The sequence below is a fragment of the Homo sapiens genome, chromosome 7 (genome assembly GCF_000001405.40).
Source record: "Homo sapiens chromosome 7, GRCh38.p14 Primary Assembly".
In the NCBI taxonomy this organism is placed as follows: domain Eukaryota; kingdom Metazoa; phylum Chordata; class Mammalia; order Primates; family Hominidae; genus Homo; species Homo sapiens.
The window spans coordinates 70165964-70185547 of NC_000007.14; the positions used below are offsets into that span (position 1 = coordinate 70165964).

Genomic DNA, 19584 nt, shown 5'->3' on the forward strand with positions numbered 1-19584 from the left:
AGTGAGTTCTCATGAGATCTGGTGGTTTAAAAGTGTGTGACAATTCCTGCTTGCTTGCTCTCTCCTGCTCCCCTATGGTAAGACGTGCTTGTTTCCCCTTCACCTTCTGCCATGATTATAAGTTTCCTGAGGCCTCTCAGTCATAATTTCTGTTAAGGCTGTGGAACCATGAGTCGATTAAACCTCTTTTCTTTGTAAATTACCCAGTCTCAGGTAGTTTTTTATAGCAGTGTGAGAATGGACCAATATGAGTCAAATCTAACATCAGGCTTGTTTTGTGCAGCCCATGAGCAAATAATTTATTTTAAGGGTTGTAAAAAATTTTTTTAAATATAGAATAATTAATGCATATGCAACAAAGAGCATATATGGCTTGCAAAGTCTAAATTATTTACTATCTGGTGCTGGTTTAAAGCAAAAATAATAATTCTATATTATGGGGTTTATAACATGTTAAAATAAAATTTTGGCAATAATACCTTAAAGGATGGGAGGGAGGAAATGGAAATATACTGTTGTAAGGTTTAAATGGAAATATACTGTTGTAAGGTTTCTGTACAATACATGAAATAGTATAATAACATTTCAAAGTAGACTATGATAAGTTAAGAACGTATATTGTGAATTTTAGAGCAGCCATTGGGGAAAAAGATAAAGTACAAGATATAATTAACAAGCCAATAAAATGAAATCATAAAAATGCTCAGCTAATACAAAAGAAGGCAAAAAAATTAAGAAAAAAAGGGAACAAAAGAACAGATGACTTTTTTTAAAGTATAATAGTACATAGATACCATATCATCCTTAGCAATAATTACACTAAATATAATTGGTCAGTTAAAAAGCAGAGATTATAAAATTGGATAGAAAGTAAAACCCAATTTTGTGCTGCCTGCAAAAAACCCATTTTAAATACAGAGCCATGACTATTTTAAAGCAAAGAGGATGGAAAACAGTATGTCATGCAAACCCTAATCAAAAGAAAACTGGAGTGGTCTGGGCTTATGCTTATAATCTGAGCACTTTAGAAGTCGGCTGGATCACTTGAGTTCAGGTGTTTGAGACCAGCCTGGCCAACATGGTGAAACCCTGTCTCTGCTGAAAGTATAAAAATTAGCCAGGTGTGGTGGCTCATGCCTGTAATCCCAGCTACTCTGGAGGCTGAGGCAGGGGAATCACTTGAACCTGGGAGGTAGAGGTTGCAGTGAGCCATGATTGCACCACTGCACTCCAGCCTGGATGACAGAGGGAGACTCTCAACAAAAACAAACAAACAAAACAAAACAAAAACAGAAGTGGTTTTGTTAATATCAATACAGTAGACTTCACAATATTACCAAGTATAAAGCATGGTATCACACACAATATAGTGATAAAGGGATCAGTCCATCAAGAAAACAAGAATTCATCAAGAAAAAGGCCTATGTACACAATAACAGAGCTTCAGAATACATAAAGCAAAAACTAATAGAATTATAGGAAGAATAGACAAATCTACTAATAAAGTTTGAGATTTCATTGCTCATCCCTCACATTGATAGAACAAGTTAACACAGATTAGGAAGGACACCAAAAACTTGAGCAACACTACCGGTCACCTTGACTCAATCAACATTTATAGAATGTGCCCTTCAACAGCAAAATACAGTTTTTTGTCCAAATGCACATGCCATACTCATTGTAGACATATTTTGAGCTATTAAGTAAATTTCAATAAGTGTAAAAGCATTGAAATGATGCAAATTATGTTCACTGACCACAACAGACTTAAACTAGAACTCAGTAACAGAAGGATACCCGGAATGTCCTCAAATTTTTGGAAATTCGATAACATACTTTTAAATAACCCATATCAAAGAGTAAGTCTCAAATCTAATTTGATTTTTACAGTTTACATGCCTCTTTTTTCTAGGCATTTAAAAAATATACAGAAGTACAGTCTAGACTGCACATGTGTATATAATTGATGACAGTGACATTCTCTCGGAATTTATATTAATGTAGTGCACAATATATTTGAAGTACATTTGGCATAAGGACGTACTAAGTCACAAGACTTGTTTGGGGAATGTGATTTCTTTGGATAAAATTAAATTCCTTGAACTTGACAACTAATCAGGCTGAAAAAATACACTTGAAGCTTTCTGATACATTATTAAGGAAGTTACAGAATATCCATGAATTTAGTTAGCTTTACACTCCAGTGGTACTCCTGAGTATTTTGTAATTGAACTCGTTGATCTTCAGATGTGAATTGGTTCTTCAGATCTGTGACCATCAGTCTGTCTACAAACATTTATGCAGGCTCTCTGAGCAAGATGCCTTTCCTCACGGTGGTTTCTAAACTCTCCCAATATTTTCAGCTGCCTGGGTAGGAAGCATTAGGGCAGACGCCCAGGCTGGAATGCAGTGGCGTGATCTTGGCTCACTGCAATCTCTGCCTCCCAGGTTCAAGAGATTCTCCTGCCTCAGCCTCCCGAGTAGCTGGGACTACAGGCGCTGCCACCACACCTGGCTAATTTTTGTATTTTTAGTAGAGACAGGGTTTCACCATGTTGACTGGGTTGGTCTTGTACTCCTGAACCTGAGGTGACCTGCCCGCCTTGGCTTCCCTAAGTGCTGGAATTACAGGTGTGAGCCAGTGCACCTGGCCTGCTCTGCTTTTAAAGAAGCAGAATTTGTCTAGATGTTTTTGAAGAACATTATGTAATAAAATAGCAGTAAGAGTATGAATTCTCGATATGTATTGAAAATTAGAGTCTTTAAAAGTCTTGGTGTTTAGAAATTAATATTAGTTTTAATATGACTCTTTAATAATGAAGAATATAAAGTTCTCTGTGTGCTGGTGAGAGGACTTTTTATTTTTACTCCTGGAAATACATGATTTGTACCAGTCACTTGTGTGGCCATAATATTTTTGCCCTAAATATTAGGTCATCATTTCCTCTTTATTGTTAGGTAACCCAGAATGCTAGGTATTCTCTAACAGAAGAAAAAAAAATTGGTTTGCAGTCCTGGTAAGCTGTTGGAGATTTTAATAATCCCAATAAAATATTTCCATTTTTCAAATGTGTTTAGATGTCCTTGGCAGATTTAGATTAGTTACATGAGATGGATAGAAAACAGGCTCAGGGCTTAGGGTTTATTTTGATGATTTTTAAAATTTGTTGAAATAAGAGTTGTTTTATTTAAGGAAAAAATAATATTTCTGGATTAAGTATTTCAAATGCGTTATTTTTGGAGAGATGCTACAGAGCTTATGTCAAATGATTATTAATATATATATATTTTTTTTGAGACGGCATCTCACTGTGTCACCCAGGCTGAAGTGCAGTGTCGCGATCTTGGCTCACTGCAAGCTCTGCTTCCTGAGTTCACGCCATTCTCTTGCCTCAGCCTCCCGAGTAGCTGCGGCTACAGACACGTGTCACCACACCTAGCTAATTTTTTTGTATTTTTAGTAGAGACGGGGTTTCACTGTGTTAGCCAGGACGCTTTTGATCTCCCGACCTCATGATCTGCCTGCGTCTACCTCCCAAAGTGCTGGGATTACAGGCATGAGCCACCGCATACGGCCTATTAATTCTTAAAAACAATTGTGACCATGATATTAGCACCTAAAGCACTATTCCTTTTCTTAGCCTTGGGAAGACTTCATGGTCATGAATACTATTAATTTGATTTTTTAAAATTATGAGTGCCATATGGCTGTAGAATGCAGAGGTTTCATGAAATATATTCAGTGAGAACCAGAAGTGATTTACTAATGCCTCAAACTCATTTAAATATCTACCAATTCAACATATAAAATTGTCTTCACGAGAAACATTACGGGGTATGATTTTGTATTTGATCATAATGCTTGCTAATTATTTCCTGTTAGTATTACTGGTAAAATGGGGGTTGGCAAATTCTAGATAGTGATGCCACATATGTGTGGTGTGGGTTCCTTACAAAACTTTATTTGCTGCTTAATTTTGTAACATTGCATCATTCCCTAAATAGCCTCAAGATCCAAATACAATTGCAGTAATACTTGCTGAAAATTGGAAACTATTAAAAACATTCATTTGCTGGGAATCAGGAGAGGGGAGGGAATTTCAAATAATAGAGGTTTTTTTTTATTAAAAAAAAAAACTCACAAAATCTTTGATCCACTGTCTCTCAAAAGGCAATTTGATAGCTAAATGCAAGTATTTTTTTTTTTTTTTTTTGAGACAGGGTCTTACTTCTTCGCCCAGGCTGGAGTGCAGTGGCATGATCTCAGCTCACTGCAATCTCTACCTCCTGGGCTCAAGCGATCCTCCCACCTCAGCCTCCCAAGTAGCTGGGTCTACAGGCATATACCACCGCTAATTTTTGTATTTTTGTAGTGTTGGGGCTTCACCGTGTTGTCAAGGCTGGTCTTGAACTCCTGAGCTCAAGCAATCCGCCTGCCTTGGCCTTCCTGGTGGGATTACAGGGATTACAGCCACTGCGCCTAGCCTAAATATATTAATAAGTTTTAAAGTTTTATATTATTTCCATTTCTATTTTGGTAGTAAAGGTAAATGAACAAGCATTATAGATCACAGACATTTAGGTTAAAAGGTCCAAGCTCTTTGAGATGGGATATACTAGGGACACGTTATCTTTTTTTTTTTTTTTTTTGAGATGAAGTCTTGCTCTTGTCCCCCAGGCTGGAGTGCGGTGGTGCGATCTCAGCTCACTGCAACCTCACTGCAACCTCCACCTCCCGGGTTCAAGCGATTCTCCTACCTCACCTTGCCGAGTAGCTGAGATTACAGGTGCCTGCCACCACGCGTGGCTAATTTTTGTATTTTTAGTAGAGACAGGGTTTCACCATTTTGGCCAGGCTGGTCTTGAACTCCTGACCTCGTGATCCACCTTCCTCGGCCTCCTAGAGTGCTGGGATTACAGGTGTGAGCCACCGCCCCCGGCCGGGGCACATTGCCTTTATAACTCTATTTAATTCCCTTGCTTGCACGTTGAATAGATCTAAATGACTGGGGGAAAAGTAAAAACATAGTCTTTAGTCCCTTTCATTGTGGTAAATTCACTGAATGATAGACGGAAATTTCAGCCTTCTTGGGTCTACTGCCAGGTTCTGTAGTTATTTGTATGTCTCATGGAGAAATCCTCATTGATTACACTGTATGGCTAAACTGACTTAAAACAGATAACTGAGCCTATTTCAAAATTGAAAATTCTTTAAAATGGAAAGTTAGTACTCTATTGTTCCCAAACTGTTGGATTGCATGCCATTTTCCCAAACTCACAGACGTTGATAAGATTTCAGGCAAGGGGAACAAGGAAGGGGTCACAGTGGAAGCGAATTCTTCCCCTTTTTCTGACTGTGTTTGCCCACCTGTCCTTTACCCTTCGCAGTTCTATTCTGAGAGGTATGTGAGGAAGATGGGAGCCACTGCTGCTAGATTGTTGCCATTAACCAGCTTTCATGGCTTTTGTGGGAGCCTCCTTTTCATTAGTATTTGCAACATGTTCACCAGCAAAATGATTATGTTAGGCAGAGACATCACATCACTTACATTTCATAGCTCAGTGCAATTTTCATAAACTGCGAGGCAACATCCAAAAAAAACATGACTCAGAATTAGAGTTTCAGAAGATTATTATATAGACATTATTTCCCTCAGGTCACGGGCTTTAGTCAAATTTGGAGGAGAATGAAATTGCCAACAGTGAAAAGCAGACAGAAAGGTATGAGTTCATGAGCAGAGAAATAACATTTTCATTTGTTCCTTCCCCATGGGAAAGATTCAGCATTCCGGTAAATGGAGACGGTTATAAGAAATGAATTTTTGTCAGCAGGGATGTGATTTTAAGGCTCACTTATCCATTGGCAATCTAGATTTCTAACCCCAGGAATCTGGGAAATTGCTACAGAATGTAGTCTTTATTATAAACAAGTTTTTTTTTTTGGGGGGGGGTAGTTTTTCCCTCCTTCTTTTCTTGGTCAGAGCTTTTTAAGACGAAGGACTACATTTCTTTCTGCATTTCTGGGGTCAGATGATTGCAGATTTCCCATCTGCCCTGAGTTTCTCTCCATTGCTGTTGCTTTGTGATGGAAACCCTTTCTTTCCTCCTCACCAAGCTTCCCTCACTCTGTCGTTGCTTTTCCTAACCCCCCTGTGTTTATCCAGCACGACACTGACAATATTGAAAGCTGCAAACTTCCTATATGGCCATGGAGTGGTGGATCTATGGCCTGATCTCTCTGTTCCCCAGCATTTACAGGATGTCTTGTGCTGCTGCTGATTCTATATCCTCAGTTCTTTTGTGTCTGTGGACCTGAAAGAGCAAGGCAGGAAATACAGCTTTCCAGGTAGCTCTCATTTTACCAGGTATAAAGAGCGAGGATTTGCAAGGTTTCTGTAAGGTAATCCCAGACAACCTTCTTCGTAATTAAAGAACGTTCTTTCATGGGAAATTTTATTTTCCTTCTTCGATTTCATCAGATGCTTCTCAGCCCATCACTCATTCAGATTCTATGCAATGGTTCTTTTTCTAGCTAGAGTACATCCTTGAGAGTAGAAAATATTTCATATAATCTAAACCCTTCATTTCTAGAGATGCAGATAGATTCTGTAACATTAATCTCACCTTTATATTTTTTCAATTTTTAATAACTTGAAAATATGTATATCTAATGCCTTCTTTCCCTATGCACTTTTGCTTATTTTAATATTTCTCAACACCATAAGCTATTTGCCCAGCTGCATCCTTATTAGACAGTGCTATTGCCTGCCAAAGCTTTTTGAGAGCAAATTGCATTGCCTTCATTATTATTATGTCTACAATATAATGATTATGAAACATCATTATTATAGTTGATTAATAAATGATAATTGATGACTCTCAGTTCATAGGATTTGGCCCATGAAATTCATCACAATTTGTAAACTTTTCTCCAAACCTTCAAGGATTCTAAAAGGATTGATTTTGCTGCAAAGTATATGCGATTACATTTTTTGATACCTAGTAAGTAGTAGTGGTTGAGGATTCACTGGCCTGGCCAGAGTGAGGGTGTATACTAAATGTCTGTGGGGTTTCAATTTCTTCCTATTGAATTCTTTTAAAATGTAGAGTCTCTTACCACTGGGAGTTTGGGGAACTTCGCACAGTGGCTCATGCCTGTAATCCCAGTACTTTGGGAGGCCGAGGTAGGTGGATCACGAGGTCAGGAGATCGAGACCATCCTGGCTAACACAGTGAAACCCTGTCTCTACTAAAAATGCAAAAAATTAGCCAGGTATGGTGGTGGGTGCCTGTAGTCTGAGGCAGGAGAATGGCGTGAACCCGGGAGGCGGAGCTTGCAGTGAGCCGAGGTCGTGCCACTGTACTCCAGCCTGGGCAACAGAGCGGGACCCCGTCTCAAAAAAAAAAAAAAAGAAAGAGAGAAAGAAAATGTTGACGGAAGGCATTCTATCTCAGTCTCTGCAATGAGCCATTCGCATTTTGTGGAATCCTTTCTGGCATTAATTGGGGGACAGAAACAGCATCTGGCATATTTACATGACAGTAGCATGTACTTCTCTTTTATATGTCATTCATTCGTACTTCCAATAAGTTCTTTTCTAATATGAGCATACATTGCTTTATTGTGCTTGGCAGATACTGTATTTTTTACAAATTAAAGTTTTGTGTAAACCTTACATCAAGCAAGTCTGTCAGCACCGTTTTTCCAACAGCATATGCTCACTTCATGTCTCTGTGTGACATTTTGGTAATTCTTGCACTATTTCAAACTTTTTTATTATAATTATAACTGTTGTGGTGATCTGTGATCAGTGATCTTTGATGTTACTATTTTAGTTATTTTGGAGTGACATAAACCTCGCTATATAAGAACAGTGTGTGTTCTGTTTCACCAACCTGCCTTTCCTCTCTCTCTCTCTCCTTCCCTGGCCTTCCTATTCCCTGAGACACAACAATATTGAAATTAGGTCAGTTAATAACACTACACTGGACTCTAAGTGTTTGAGTGAAAAAAGAGTCTCATGTCACTCACTTGAATAAATCAAACTCTAGAAATGATTTAGCTTAGTAAGGAAGGCATGTTGAAAGCCAAGATGGGCTGAAAGCTAAGTCTCTTGCACCTGTTGGCCAAGTTGTGAATGCAAAGGAAAAGTGATTAAAGGAAATAATAGGTGCTACTCCAGTGAACACATGAGTGATAAGAAAGTGAAACAGCCCTTTTGCTGATATGGAGAAATTTTAGGAGTCTTGATGGGAGATGAAACCAGTTACAACATTCCCTTAAGCCAAAACCTAATCCATACAAGGCTCTCTGTTCAATTCTGTGGAGAGTGAGAGAGGCAAGGAAGCTGCAGAAGAAAAGCTGGAAGCTATCAGAGTGTGGTTTAAGAGGTTTAAGGAAAGGAACTATCTCTAGAACAGAAAACTGCAGGGTGAAACACAAGTGCTGATGGAGTAGCTGTGGCATGTTACCCAGAAGATCTAGCTAAGATCATTGATAAAGGTGGCCACGTTGAATAACAGAGTTTTACTGTAGACAAAACAGCCTTCTATTAGAAGAAGATGCCACCTATGACTTTCAAAGCTAGAAAGGAGAAGTCCCATGCCTAGCTTCAAAGGACAGGCTGACTCTTCGTAGGAGGCTAATGTAGCTGGTGACTTTAAGTTGAAACCATTGCTTATTTTATCATTCCAAAAATTGTAGGGCACTTAAAAATTATGCCAAATCTGCCCTGTGCTCTAGAAATAAAACAACAAAGCTGGGATGACAGCACATCTGTTTACGACATGGTTTACTAAATATTTTAAGCCCGCTATTGAGACCTACTGCTTGGAAAAAAAGATTCCTTTTAAAGTATTACTATTCATTGATAATGTACATGATCACCCAAGGGCTCTGATGGAGTTGTACAAGGAGATAAATGTTGTTTTCATGCCTGGTGACAGAACATTTATTTTACCATTCATGGATCAAGAAGTAATTTCAACTTTCAAGTCTCATTATTTAAGAAATGCATTTCATAAGGCTTTAGCCACCGTAATTAGTGATTTCCTCTGATGGATCTGGGCAAAGTCAATTGAAACCTTTAGCAAAGGATTCCCCATTCTAGATGCCATTAAGAACATTCATGACATATAGGAGGAAATCAAAATACCAACATGAACAGGAATTTGGAAGAAGTTTATTCCAAACTTAATGGATGTCTTTGAGGTGTTCAAGGCTTCAGTAGAGGAAATTGCTGCAGATGCATGGAAATATCAAGAGAACTAGCATTAGAATTGGGGCCTTGAAGGTGTTACTGAATTTCTGCAATCTCATCACCAAAATTGAACAGATGAGGAGTTGCTTCTTTATGGATGAACAAAGAAAGTGTTTTCTTGAGATGGAGTCTACTCCTGGTGAAGATGCTGTGAATGTTGTTGAAACTACAGCAAAGAATTTAGAATATTCCATAAACTCAGTTGATAAATCAGTGGCGGTATTTGAGGATTGACTTCACTTTTTAAAGAAGTTCTATGTGGGTAATATGCTATCAAACAGCTTCCCATGCTACAGAGAAATCTTTCATGAAAGGAAGAGTCAGTTGATGGAGCAAACTTCATTGGTGTCTTACTGCAAGAAATTGCCACAGCCACCCAACCTTCAGCAACCACCAGTCTGATCAGTCAGCAACCATCAACATGTATGCAAGACCCTCCACCAGCAAAAAGATTATGACTTGCCAAAGGATACCTGCAAAAATCCATCCACCAGACTCAGGTGTTTGTTAGCATATTTTTAGCAATAAAGCATTTTTAAAATTAAGGTAACTACATTGAATTTTTAGACATAATGCTATTATACACATATAGCCTAATATGTCTATTAGTTTTAGACATAATGCTATCAATTATGTTAATAACTTAACATAATTTTTGTGTTCACTGGGAAACCAAAAGTTCATGGGACTTGCTTTATTGCAATATTCATTTTATTGTGGTGGTTTGGAACCAAATCTACAATGTCTTAGGTATTCCTGTATTTTCATTAAGAAGTAGTATGACTATCTCACATAAAGGCTGATAACCTGGAAGACACTTAGATTTCAATATAGTTTGGAACCTGTCTGGATTCCATGTATTACTTCAACAGGAGTGAAGAATCCCATAGTCTGATGAATTTTTGCAGGTATTCTCTTCACCATAATGAGGTTTCATTAGGGTTACTGCTAGAATAGGATTGTTTGTTATTAGTTTCCAATGAAGGATGGAATATTCTCAATGTAGGAATTCATAGTACGTACAAGAAAGCTATAGATATTGTTAGTATAATAATTATACAATAGTAGTAGTATAATAAAATATTCAAGCAATCACTTAATAATTACTTCAAGTCTCACTGTCTGCCCTCCAGAATCAGGAGCAGGATGTCTGAACTCCTCATTCTTTACACTTTTACTCAAAAGCTCTTAACTCTAGAGACAGTCTTTAACTTTTTGGTATTTGGTTTCTTCTTTTGTGCAATGGCAATGATTCTGCCTGTGCAAACAACTGTCAACTGTTTTTCTCAGCAGTGCTAGTGTAAATGAAGTTGAATATTAGGAATAATTAACCTTCCTTGCTTACATATGCCATTTGATAATGCTCAATCTTCTTTGTTAAGAAAACAATGCAGTAAAATCTTTGTTAATTGAGATGAAGTGTTGTTTATTTAAATTTGGATCATTCTGAAAAATATATTTGTTCCAACAGGCTTATTCCTGAAAATCTTTCTAAAATATGTTCAGTGTCTGTCTGCCTTAGAATGGTCCCCAAATATAATTGAATCTCTCTCTGGTGATGGGTTGTCTTGCACAGCCTAGGACCCATCATACTGGAGTGCTTTTCTCTCTGAATCAAGCAGCAGATAACGGAATTTGGACTGCTTTGATCTCAGATCATACCCTGGAAGTTGTGTTTTAATAAGTAAATTTCTTATATGAATTGTTTTCTTAGTGTTGTACCTCATTCTTCATAAAAGTAAAAAGTATATTAGCAAGTTACAGAACAAGAAGTATCATGTTGCCTAATCAATGCAAAATATCATCATTTCCTAGACAACTTCACAGGAGACATAGCATGATTAGAAGGTCAGACTTGATTAAATCCCGTGCTTTGCCCTTAGTTTTTTGAAATTTCAAAGGAGGCAATCTCTCTGTCAATAAATTTTCAAATTTTATAAATAATAGTAATCCTGATGCCAGCAAGCAGTTATTGAGCTTTGTGTGCCAAGTACTGTTCTAAGCATGTTTCAAGTAATAACTCACTTCTTCACAATGAGCCTTTCAAGGAGGTACTGTTATTGACATCATTTTTCTAGTGAGGAGCCTGAGGCTTAGATTCAGAAACCTGTGAGTCGCCATATAGCTAGTAGCTGGCCGAGCCATGATTTGAACTTAGCTGTGCTCAAAACCACCACACCATGATACCTCAGAGATGAATGTGTGCGTGGTGGTTATGGGAGAAGAGAACCACATTTACTTATTTTTTGTCTGGGTCTTGCATGGTGTTTTAGATCATTTCATTTCTGTTATTTCATTTTGAAACATTTCTACTATAATTATTATCCATATTTTACATATAGGGAATCTAGTCTCAGAAAAACTGAAGCTTATAACCAATATTTTACAGCTAGTGATAATGAGGGAGCAGACATTTGAACTTGACAACCTAAATTCAGGTTCTGGCTAGGGGTTTCGTTAAGGAAAGGAAAAATTCCCTCCAACAAAGGTCATTTTTATGATGTGTAAGTGATTTAAGCTTTCTGTATACCACCCCACCCCTTACAAAGATTTGTGTTTTCATTTTTAATTAAATCTGTCTGTTCTGCATTCTCATTGTTTGGACTTTTTTCAAATCATTGCTAATACACTGGTTCTTCTTCCTGTTAGTGGTTTGTGGTTGACTGGTTCATCTTCTACCGTTAACATAATTCTGTTTTTTTTTTTTTTTTGAGGTGGAGTCTTGCGCTGTCACCAGGCTGGAGTGCAGTGGCATGATCTTGGCTCACTGCAACCTCTGCCTCCCGGGTTCAAGCGATTCTCCTGCCTCAGCCTCCCGAGTAGCTGGGGCTACAGGTGTGTGCCACCACACCCAGCTAATTTTTGTATTTTTTGTAGAGACAGGGTTTCATCATTGTTCTTATTTTTATTTGTCATTCCTGGAAATTAATTTTGCTTTGAGTTTGGGACCCCTAACATGATGTCCTTTAGCCCCGTGAAGAGTGAATGTCCCTGTGGTGCCATTAGCCACTTGTACAGTGTCCTGAGAATATTTTAAGAGAAATATGAATGGCAGTACCACTTGGATACCAATTAAAAATACTTTTTTTTTTCAGTGAAATACGTCTTTAAACCTGCAAGACACAGAGGGTTGGTTCTCTTGGTTTCCTTAGTCATTATTGACATCATCTATAACTTTCTGTTGAAATAACAAGGATTTTTATGGAAAGCTGTTTTTGTTCCTGTTCCTGTTGCCAGTTTTCACATCCTTATATATTATTAAAGATACAGAATGGGCTTTTAATAGATCCTACAGGCCAGGCACAGTGGCTCATGCCTGTAATCCCAGCCCTTTGGGAGGCTGAGGCGGGTGGATCCCATGAGGTCAGGAGTTTGAGACCAGCCTGGCCAACATGACGAATCCCCGTCTCTACTAAAAATACAAAAATTAGCTGGGCGTGGTGGCAGGTGCCTGTAGTTTCAGCTGTTCAGGAGGCTGAGGCATGAGAATCGCTTGAACCCAGTAGATGGAGGTTGCAGTGAGCTGAGATGGTGCTGCTCACTCCAACCTGGGCGACAGAGGGAGACTGTCTAAAAAAAAAAATGTAGGTCTTATGGAGTCACAGAGTCTTAATGAATCTCCATTGTTATATGACAGGGTCTTATGGATGTCTTTTGGAATGCCCAGCAGCAAGTGGGCAGCTTCTTAACAACCCACTGTGACTCATGAGGAAGTGTGTCTTTGTGTTGTTTATGACTGTGTTTTTATGGGTAGGACTTCCCACTGTCTCACTTTCCTGGCTTGCCTTCTCTTCTGTTTACCCTGGCCCCACCTTTGGCTCAGCTGGGCACTACGGGTTTTACCAGAGTCAGTTGGAATGCAAGTGCATCACACCAGCTCTCCATCTCCCTGTGGCATTTTATGGCTCAGAGAGGATTGGAACTAAACCTTGGGTGGCTCATGATCGGTTGTACCCAGCCAAGTCTGGAGAAATGGAGAAAATGCCTGGGTTTGTTAGTCTACATGTCCTTCACATTCTTACAGACACGTCTTTTGAGTCCAGAGAAATGTAAATCTTTTCCTTTTTGTTTTTAGTGGTTTATTTCTCAGGCCCTGAAGCATGAGTTTTGGTCACCCCTACAGCAGGGGAGATTTCTTCAAAAACAGCTGTGATTATCCGAAGGTGTTACATTGTGCTTTTCTTTTCATGCATTTTTAGCACCTGCACATCATAGTTTTCCCGGGAACCTCCAGCAGTGTCACCTGCTAACTTGGCAGACTGGAGAGACTCTCAAAGCCATGTCTGACTTCTGTGTCCATCTGGATTATTTCTGTCACATGATGATTTGGCAGATGTTTTCTGCAGATCTCTAGCTCTGGTAAACAATGGTGAACTGGGCCCATATACTCAACTTGTAAAGAGTGATTTCCCCAAAAACAGGAGACAGACATTTAGCAAGATAGGGGCTCCTTCATGTGAAAGTTGATCTCTAAGGTTAGTATAAATTTTCTGATCTAGAGGGAATTATAGGACTCTGAGGCCCACCCTTACTAGCTTGCCACCAGGCTTGGTATAACCTTCATTGCAAATGCTAGGATTCATGCTTTGGTTGTACATGAAGGGGATTATTTCTGGGTGGTATTTTATCTCCTACTCTCAGACTCTTTCAGATCTAGCTGGATGTTCAACATAAGCCTTTTGTGTAATTCCCATGGGCTGTAGCTCTGTGGCTTGAGTAGTGGTCACAGGAGCTCTAATGCCAGAATAAATGATGCTGCTAACAGAAAAAAGTAGGGCTCATTTCTCTGCAAAATGCTGCACAAAGAAGACTTTCTTTGCTTCTTCTGGTACATGTGGTAAGCGTAGAAATAGTTTATTATGGAAGTCTTTCAGCCACAGGTCTTTCTAAGGCAAAATTGTATCCTCCAGGGAAACTAAAATAAATACCAGCCTAATAAACTTCAGATTTTAAAAAATAAGTTATCATATTGCATTTCTGTAAGAAGAAAAATATGAAAGGTTGATGTGTGTTTTTATTCCACTTTGATTTACTTCCCAAGCTGTCCTGTCCCAATTCAATCTTAAAATGGAAGAAAATACTTTATCATTTGAAGAAGGATGAATGTAGTACAGAATTCAATTTTTAAGAATTCAAGGTAGGGGAAGTAAATTTTGATGCCAACTTTCAAGTTTTTAAAGAATAAAATAAAATAAACACATACACACACAGTTGGCTTTGTGTTGGAAGTTAATGATAGATGTCTTCTCGGTATTCTTTGCAAAGGAAGTCTTCCATCCAGGCTTTCCCTCATTTGTTTTTAATTACAGTCATGGTCTACCTGGCCTTCTCACTAGCACTAGCTCCCTATGCCTTTTGCTTTGCTCTTAGGCCGGGCTTTTGGTCCCTCCCTCCTCATCTCTGGTTCTCTCGCTATTCCTTGGCTCCTCTTGTCTTGCTGCCCAGTTTGGCTCAGGTACATGAACTGCAACCTACATTCTGCCATCCCTGCAGCTGCACAAGCCTGTCGTTTTCCATACTATTGTATTTTCAGGTCTAACATGTCCCCTTTTTACTGCCCTTTCTCAGTCTACTTTAGTGGTTATTATCTTGTCATCAATCTCTTTAAATATGGCTAGGCTCCGAAGATTCCTCTATTGACTATTGTGTTTGCTTTATTTTATAAAATTTATTATTAAATAAAGCTAGGAAATGTAATATAATAGGCTTCCATTTACCCACCACCCAGCTTGAAAAGCAATTCTGAATTTGCTATTTATGTTACTAATTTCTTTATATATTTTTCACATATGCAAATCAACAAATATATAGTATGCTTATATTTTGGAAAATTGTATCTTATTCTTTATGTGCTTTTTTAACTTTTTAAATGGAAGATGATGCTTGTGAGATTAATTCAGGTTGCTATGTTTTGCTCTTCCACTACTGCATAGTATTCTATTTTAAGCCTATGCCACCATTTATTCTATTTATGAGCATTCAGATTGTTTTCATTTTTGTTATTACGAACAATGTTTCTGTGAACATGCTTGTACAGATCTCCTTGCACTTCTGTCAATTTATTATTTCAGCATATTTTATTGAGCACCTATTAGTGCTTGGCGTGATTGATACAAGACTGCTAAAACAAGTCGTATCTTGAAGCCATATGCTTTAGAGAGACAAACAGGCAAATTCTGTTGTAGGAGTCTTCTCACCTATCTTCTTATTTTTATTTCACTCCTCCTTTGTCATATTTCACAGTTCTGCTAAAGTTAACTTTTTTTTTTCTTTTTTTTTTTGAGATGGAGTTTTGCTCTTGTTGCCCAGGCTGGAGTGCAGTGGCGCCATCTCGGCTCACTGTAACCTCTGCTTCCTGGGTTCAAGGATTCTCCTGCCTCAGCCTCCTGAGTAGCTGAGATTGCAGGCACTCGCCACCACACCCAGCTAATTTTTTTGTATTTTTAATAGAGACGGGGTTTCACCATGTTGGCCAAGCTGGTCTGGAACTCCTGACCTCAGGTGATCCGCCCCCCTCGGCCTCCCAAAGTGCTGGGATTACAGGCGTGAGCCACCAAGCCCAGCTGAGCTAACTTTTTTTTTTTTTTTTTTTGAGATGGAGTCTCTCTCTGTCACCCAGGCTGGAGTGCAGTGGAATGATCTTGGCTCACTGCAAGCTCCACCTCCCAGGTTCACGCCATTCTCCTGCCTCAGCCTCCCGAGTAGCTGGGATTACAGGCACCCGCCACCACGCCTGGCTAATTTTTTTGTATTTTTAGTAGAGACGGTATTTCATCGTGTTAGCCAGGATGGTCTCGATCGATCTCCTGACCTCATGATCCGCCCATCTCGGCCTCCCAAAGTGCTGGGATTACAGGCGTGAGCCACCACGCCCAGCTGAGCTAACTTTTTAAACATAGTTTTAATCATTACTGTTATTGTCAAAAACATTCAAAGTCTCCCTGTTGCTTATGTGATAAAGTTGATACTCCTCAGCTTGCCATTCAAGAACCATCCTAGCTTAACCTTTTCTCCTGTTTACATCTCACCCATACACCTTTCAGATGCCAGTGTCATTTCCCTTTCATGCCTCTCAGTGATATTTCTTTACCCTTAGCTATCTTGCCTGTTTTGAACTTTATCCAGGATGTTGAGGCTTTACTCAGTTTTCAAGATCCAAATGAAATAGTTTATTATTCCTCTTATACCCTTCGTCTAAGTGTTTATTGCAGATAGTGGGATATGCATTTGTTTAGCTGACTAGGAGCAGGAACCATATGGTAATTGCCTCCAACATAGTAGGACCTCATTAATTAAAATAATAATTTATAATCAAATCGAACTGAATGGATCATTTGGTTCTCAGCTTTGCTGTTAAAACTCTTTAATGGTCCTAATGGGAGGAGGGAGTAGAAATAGAGTGAATGTTTTAGTTTTCTGTTGCTTTTCAAATGTTTCTGACTCTCAATAAGTGCTTGTAGCTTACTAACCGAGCAACCATTCTAAGCGGGATCCTTACCACATCAAAGTGGGATAGGTTGAGAAGAAAACTGGCTTTAGTAAGAGAGACAGATTCTTCATAAAAAAAAAAAAAAGACCATATTCTCACCTTAGTAGGATTGAACTAAAGCATACTTAAACCAGCTTCCATTCTCATCTCTTGGTCACCTCCTTTCTGCCTTTTGGGTGGCAATACACGTTGATGGCCTGTCACCTATCATGCCCTTCTACTTATCTCCAGTCCCCAGGGTAGAAGGCAGATGTGGCTGCATGTGAATAAGGGGAAGCCCGAGTCCACTGTGTCCGCGTTTCCATTTTGAAGGAAAATGGGAGAAATGAGGCCAGTGGTTTGATAAATTATATCAAAAATAGTCCCTTCATGCTAATGGAGTGCGAAGAAGCTGATGTACTGGAGATGATCTATAATATTTCATATTTCTCTGAGGAGAAAAATGATAAACTTGATGATGTGCAATTTATTCATGTTTCTTCAGATGAGAAAAAAAAATCCTCAAGTCAACTAACTGCCTGTTTCTCACTCCTGGAAGCTGGCATGTGGATTTTACACTGGGATTGGAGGCTGGGCTTGTTTAGAGAAATGCCTAGAGAGACTTTGATTAATCACCAGACCTTTGGCAGTTGGTTGGGAGAGGGTAATTACGCTAGCATTGCCACTATTTTATCATCGCTATTTTATGGCTCTACACCGCCAGGTGACAAATGTGTTAATTATTGCATTTCTTATCCTGGACTTCTCTTGCCTGCCCCCTCCCCTCATGGTTTTGGCCCTTAGTCCTTCTCTGCAGCTCAGCCCTGGACGGCAGTAACTTGTGCAATCAAAGAGCTGTTCTTTGGGAGCCATGCTGAGAGGGACAGGGCTATCAGCCCTGCTGTGTGCAGACGCTAACCACGGGGAGCTGGTTAATTCCCTTTCCTCTTCCTTCTGCCCATCACCCTTTGGGTCAAGTGCTGCTCAGAGCCAGAAGCTCCACTGGCTTCTTTAATAACTGAAAATAGCACCCCTGGACTGGGCCATTTCACTCTAAATAGCCCCCTGGAGGAGGTTAGAAACAGAGGTTGTCTTAGGCAAAGAGATTTAGGAGGTAAAATTGTCCTTTTTCTGTCTTTTTCTTTTTTTTTTTTTTTTGTTGCCCCTTCTGTCTTTCTGTTACCCAGAGAAAGCTTCACAAGCATGCCTGTAATTTAGTTGCACCATTTTATTACAGCTGAAAGAATTGAATGTAAAGAAGGAAGTTTAATAGAACATATAATTCAGCAGATTTATTGATGGGGAGGTATCTATTGTAGTTTGGCCAGTGAAGGCAGGTCATAGAGGAAAATTTAGGTAAGTCGGATTTTCTTTAAAAAGAGGCCCAAGAGTTAGTACCTCAGGATTTTGTTTTCTTCTGTTCCTTGGGCATGCTGGAAATTTGTTAGCTCTTAAATCAACAACTTGTTATTGACAGTCATCTTTTTGCTGGAGAACGTATTAAAATAAGTATAATTATGGTGCCTGACCTCAAAAAGAAAACCAGTTGGTTATATAACTCTAAAAAGATGAGTAGCCACAGAGTGTAGAAAGCCACAGAGAAGAGCAAATGCCATTGTTGGGAAGCAGAGCCTATGCTGGGTAAAGTTTCCTGGGAGTTTCATCCTCCAAGAACAAGAATTTCTTCTTCTGACCCTCCACCTTCTCTGGAAATGGGGTGCCACATCTTTTGCCTTCTGGCTAAATTTTTGTTTATTATATGCCTCTTTCACTAGAATGCAAGAACATGACTACTTGGTTATGTTCTTGCTTGTAATCCTTGTTTTTAGAACAAGACCTGACAACTCGATTATGGTCAGTATATATATTTTTTGGATGTATGAATGAATAAATGAAATGAGATCTTAACATGTAACTATCTTCTTTTAGACTACACAGGGTTTTGACTATAATTGAAATTTTTAGGCTTCTTCAGCTCTCTCTTTTTTGGGTCCAAAGGATGTCTCAAACCAAATAAGAAATTCCTTCTTATTGATCTAGTGGTTACAGACAAGAGACGCCAGCCTTCTTTGTCTTTTGGAAGTTAGGAGTGTGTCCCTGAGGAAACTATGCCCTGGGAAGGTTCTTTATTTATAATACAAAATTTCTTTTTTGTGGTTGAGCTAGATACAGATATTTTTCAATTTTTCCTTTCTTCGAAGGCTATATTTTGGCTTAATCTGTACTTACAGCATAACTATTCATGCTAATTATAATTCATATATGAAAATGCACCAAATATGACTATTAGAAGCTTTTGAAATACTGTTTGATACTTTGCAATATAGTTATTTATGCATATCTGCATTTGATTTTAAACTTCTTGAAGTAATGTTTTATTTATTTTTGTATCTCCATTGCTCAGCAAAGGGTGGCACATAGTAGGTCCTTCATGAACTAATATTCACTAGAGCACTGTGGGAACTTATTTGCAACACCCTTGGCATCTCTCTTATCCATTGGGGATAGCAAGTAATTTGAACTGTCAAAACCAGTGGTGTTGCTTTGGGCCTAAATGACATTAAACTTTTTTTTTTTTTTTTTTTTTTTTTTTAAGAAACGAGGATCTTCCTATGTTGCGCTCGCTAGTGGTCTTCAACCTCTGGCCTCAAGTGATCCTCCTACCTTGGCCTCCCAAAGTGCTGGGATTACAGTTGTGAGCCACCGCACCTGGCCCCAACATTCAACTGTTTTTTCTGACAGTAACTAAGAATGGGATAAATGCCTCTCTGAGGCCTTTCCCAGTTTGTGAGGCCACTTGTCTTATTATTTGTGATTGCAGGAGGACATGCATCATATTCATCTAAAGGTTGAATA

General features: G+C 38.9%; 1 protein-coding gene across 26 annotated transcripts in view, besides 1 other annotated feature; it reads left to right on the top strand.

The window, feature by feature from the left end:
- AUTS2 (activator of transcription and developmental regulator AUTS2) overlaps positions 1–19584 on the top strand; it is a 1195032-nt gene that overhangs the window by 567489 nt on the left and 607959 nt on the right. The window lies entirely within an intron of this gene.
- Positions 15425–18080: an enhancer, noted in NCBI's record as "VISTA enhancer hs2316". NCBI's record gives its function as "enhancer in: eye[3/5]" and the evidence as "EXISTENCE:transgenic organism evidence [ECO:0001131][PMID:17130149]".